This window comes from Homo sapiens, chromosome X (assembly GCF_000001405.40).
Source record: "Homo sapiens chromosome X, GRCh38.p14 Primary Assembly".
Classification (NCBI taxonomy): domain Eukaryota; kingdom Metazoa; phylum Chordata; class Mammalia; order Primates; family Hominidae; genus Homo; species Homo sapiens.
In genome coordinates, this window is record NC_000023.11 from 131,004,778 (window position 1) to 131,010,160 (window position 5,383).

Genomic DNA, 5,383 nt, shown 5'->3' on the forward strand with positions numbered 1-5,383 from the left:
TTGATCCTTTCAAAAAACCAGCTCCTGGATTCATTGATTTTTTGAAGGGTTTTTTGTGTCTCTATTTCCTTCAGTTCTGCTCTGATTTTAGTTATTTCTTGCCTTCTGCTAGCTTTTGAATGTGTTTGCTCTTGCTTTTCTAGTTCTTTTAATTGTGATGTTAGGGTGTCAATTTTGGATCTTTCCTGCTTTCTCTTGTAGGCATTTAGTGCTATAAATTTCCCTCTACACACTGCTTTGAATGCGTCCCAGAGATTCTGGTATGTGGTGTCTTTGTTCTCGTTGGTTTCAAAGAACATCTTTATTTCTGCCTTCATTTCGTTATGTACCCAGTAGTCATTCAGGAGCAGGTTGTTCAGTTTCCATGTAGTTGAGCGGCTTTGAGTGAGATTCTTAATCCTGAGTTCTAGTTTGATTGCACTGTGGTCTGAGAGACAGTTTGTTATAATTTCTGTTCTTTTACATTTGCTGAGGAGAGCTTTACTTCCAACTATGTGGTCAATTTTGGAATAGGTGTGGTGTGGTGCTGAAAAAAATGAAACTGGATCCCTTCCTTACACCTTATACAAAAATCAATTCAAGATGGATTAAAGATTTAAACGTTAAACCTAAAACCATAAAAACCCTAGAAGAAAACCTAGGCATTACCATTCAGGACATAGGCGTGGGCAAGGACTTCATGTCCAAAACACCAAAAGCAATGGCAACAAAAGACAAAATTGACAAATGGGATCTAATTAAACTAAAGAGCTTCTGCACAGCAAAAGAAACTACCATCAGAGTGAACAGGCAACCTACAACATGGGAGAAAATTTTCGCATCCTACTCATCTGACAAAGGGCTAATATCCAGAATCTACAATGAACTCAAACAAATTTACAAGAAAAAAACAAACAACCCCATCAAAAAGTGGGCGAAGGACATGAACAGACACTTCTCAAAAGAAGACATTTATGCAGCCAAAAAACACATGAAGAAATGCTCATCATCACTGGCCATCAGAGAAATGCAAATCAAAACCACTATGAGATATCATCTCACACCAGTTAGAATGGCAATCATTAAAAAGTCAGGAAACAACAGGTGCTGGAGAGGATGCGGAGAAATAGGAACACTTTTACACTGTTGGTGGGACTGTAAACTAGTTCAACCATTGTGGAAGTCAGTGTGGCGATTCCTCAGGGATCTAGAACTAGAAATACCATTTGACCCAGCCATCCCATTACTGGGTATATACCCAAATGAGTATAAATCATGCTGCTATAAAGACACATGCACACGTATGTTTATTGCAGCACTATTCACAATAGCAAAGACTTGGAACCAACCCAAATGTCCAACAATGATAGACTGGATTAAGAAAATGTGGCACATATACACCATGGAATACTATGCAGCCATAAAAAATGATGAGTTCATATCCTTTGTAGGGACATGGATGAAATTGGAAACCATCATTCTCAGTAAACTATCGCAAGAACAAAAAACCAAACACCGCATATTCTCACTCATAGGTGGGAATTGAACAATGAGATCACATGGACACAGGAAGGGGAATATCACACTCTGGGGACTGTGGTGGGGTTGGGGGCGGGGGGAGGGATAGTATTGGGAGATATACCTAATGCTAGATGACGCATTAGTGGGTGCAGCGCACCAGCATGGCACATGTATACATATGTAACTAACCTGCACAATGTGCACATGTACCCTAAAACTTAGAGTATAATAAAAAAAATAAAATAAAATAAAATAAAAATAAATGAAAAAAAAAGAAAAAAAAAAATACCGATTCCTGAGTTTCACCTCCTTAGATTCTGATTCAATTGGCCTGGAGAACAGCCCAGGAATTTCAAGTTAAGACAGAGAGAAGTGGACATATTTGAGACATATTTTGGATGTGAGACATACTGGGTTTGGGGAGTCTCTGTGGACTATAGGGAGAGAAAGGGGTAAAAGAAGTGACCCAGCATCTTACTTGGGACTTTTAACAGATGGTGGTGCCATTCACTACAATGGGGAGCACTGAGGGAAGAGGAGCAGATTGGGGGTGGGGCCATAAGTTCAGTGTTGGCTATGTTGAGTTTAAGATACGTGATCTGTTCAGGGAGGTAGACAGGACTCCATAATAGACTGGATTTGGAAAGGGCAAAGGGAGAGGAAGAGCCGTAGAGGATTTCCTGTGCTCATGTCCTATATTCTCATCTTGGTCATTTCCACTTCTCTGATTGGGATCCTATCTCTGTTCTCTGGATACTAATAGCCTAATCAGGTAAACTTCTTCCTGCAAATGTGTTAACTCTATTTTATAACCCCTTGAGATGCCTTTACCCAACTAAAATACACAAGTCCTACGTCCTTCAAAGAGTAGCTCTTCTGATAGAAATTTGAAGCCTCTGTGGATGATTGGTGGGGAAAGGTTGAAAGAAACTGTGCTAGAATTTTGCCCCTTCAATTTCAGTGAGAAGGAGATGGACTTATCAAGATAAAACAGGGTGTGCCCTGACTTCCTTTAGGAAAATTCAAACGCTGAGCTAGAAGTTTTATATCTATTATCTCATTTAGTATCTCAAATCACTTGAGTTGTTATTATTACTATTTTACAATTAAAGAAACCAAGGCCAAGGAAGGTTAAGCAACTCATTCAGAGTCATACAACTAGTCAGATTTAGAACCCAGAAGCATATTTCTGCCATGAGTGCTGAGAGATTTTTATTCATTAATTCATTCTCATTGTGCACTAGAGTACATGCCTCTGGGAGTCCAGAGGATCCTGCATAGAGCCCTTCTGAGGAGTATCAAGGGAGTAAAGAGTTCCTTTAGATAGAAACTAGGTTGACTGGTGGACTGGAGTAGGATCACCATTAGTGAGCTCCATCTCCTGGGTCCTGCCTTGTAGTAATCTGTCACCACTTCTGCTCCTGAAACAGAGATTCCCAAGAGCAGCAAGAGCCTTTAAAGAGCAAAGAGGCTCGTTCTAAAGGTAGGGAAACAGGTTAGAGAGAGACAAGGTAGTTTGCCCAAAGTCACAGAGCCAATTAGAGGCAGAATCAGGGAAAACCTTTTGGTGGGAGGTTCCCAAGAGCATATATCTCCAGGAGGATGCAGCTTTCTAAAAGAAGTAAGTAGGGGAAAGAGCAGAAAGAATCCTGGGGCTATAGCAGAGAACTCTGCCCAGAACCACTGCAGTCACGTCCTACTCACTGCTTGCTCCCTGTGCCAGCCAACCCCACAGCCTTCGCTCAGGGCTGGAAAAAGACACGGGACAGGGCTCCTTAATGAGAACATTTGGGAACCCGGGAAAGGTTAATGATCTGCAGCCTCGACCATCCATCAGCTGCCTAGCCAGGGACAGTAAACACCGTTACTCATCTAATTAGCCAGGAAAGGCTGGGCAGGGGCTGAAGATGGGGCCTTGGAGATTACAAAGTAAGGGTCCACTTGCTTAGGGTGCTGAGAGAGGCTACCAGAGGGCACAGGCCACCATTCCTGGAGGCATTTGTAAGGGGGCTCACTCTTAGCTGGTCCCCCTGCAGCTCTGGCTGCAGGCATGTGGTGAAAGGCATGGATATTTATTGAGGGCCTCTTCTGTGTCAGGCACTGTACTCATCAATTCTACGTGTCAATTTATTGTGTCCCCCCCAACAACACTGCAAAGTTCTTACATTTATTGAGCACCTGCTGTATGCCAGTCACTATATATATATGTATATGTATATATACACACACACATATACACTATATATACACACACACATATATACACTATATATATATATATATAGTGTATATATTGCAAATAGTTGCTGCAACATAAAAAATAGTTTTTTTTTTCACGAGAAATAGGTCCAATCTTCTGGGCTACTAAAGGGAGTGAATGTGCATATAAGTGTGTGCCTGGGTGCTTGCATTTGTGTGTGTGGAGTTGACAGAAACCACCACATAGGCATGTGTATACTTCTTCCTCACACTCTCACCCATACAAGCATAGCTTCTTGCAAAGTTGAATGCAACCCAACACACTATACATATATATATATATATATATATATATATATGGTGAGTGATTGGCATATATATATATATATATATATATATATATATATATATATAGAGAGAGAGAGAGAGAGAGAGAGAGTCATATCTTAATCCTTCCAAGAATCCTAGGAAGTAGTTGGTATTGTCCTCATGATATGGTTTTGTTCTGTGTCCCCACCCAAATCTCATCATAAATTGTAATCTCCAAGTGTCAGGGGAGGGGTCTGGGGGAAGGTGATTGAATCGTAGGGGCAGACTTCCCTCTTGCTGTTCTCATGACAGTGAATGATTTCTCACAAGATCCTGTTGTTTAAAAGAGTGTGGCACTTCCGCCTTCCCTCTCTCTCTCTCCTGCTCCACCATGGGAAGATGTGCCTTGCTCCCCCTTCATCTTCCACCATGATTGTAAGTTTCCTGAGGCTTCCCAGTCATGCTTCCTGTTAAGCCTGCAGAACTGCGAGTCAACTAAACCTCTTCTATTCATAAATTACCCAGTCTCAGGTAGTTCTTTATAGCAGTGTGAAAACGGACAAATACACTCCATTTTACAGGAGAGAAAACCGAGCATGATTGGTTAATTTGCTGATCTATTCAGCAAATATGTATTCATGCCCACTCTGTGCCAGGCACTGTGCTAGGTCCTAGGGATATAATGGTAAAAAGACACACATTTTGCCCTTGTGGGGTACCTACTGTCTAATGGTGGAGACAAACATTAAACATGAGCTCCACAACTAGAAAACAGCAAAACTAGATAGGGATCTAGTGTAGGGGAAAGCTGTAAGAAGGATGATGAGGGGCCTGAGGTGACAGGTGCTGTGGCAATCAGACCAGTATACCCTTGCTCATAACTGGCCTAGTCTGACTTCAGGAGGCTAGGCCCTGGGGTAAATGATGTATTTCTGCTTGGGGAAGTGGGAGATACCACTCTAGACATATGTGCTCATTGGACTCTGTGCCAGTGAGTGGGAGAGAATTCTCTAGATACATGTGCACATCAGACACATGTGCTCAAAGGTTCTTTGCTTTCCCAGCTGCCATGAATGATTCCAGCTCCAGAGAGGAGGTATTGGGGTTAGGGATAACTTTGTGATTGCTGAACAGTCAATGGAGTGGGCCACAGCTGGGGAATGGGTATTCTTTGAGCACCTGGTGTGTGCCAAACCCTGTGCGAAGTCCTGTGAGGAGGTGGCTGGAAGCAGTCAAAGACTGTTTTTTTCCAGGGAGGCTTTTAATATAGGTTGCAAATGGGACTTATTTTTGTGGAAAGATTAAGGAAGATAGCCAGTTAAGAGCTGAATAGGGCAGTTCTGACTCATCAGCTTAGAAGCCTGGGACTCCTTGA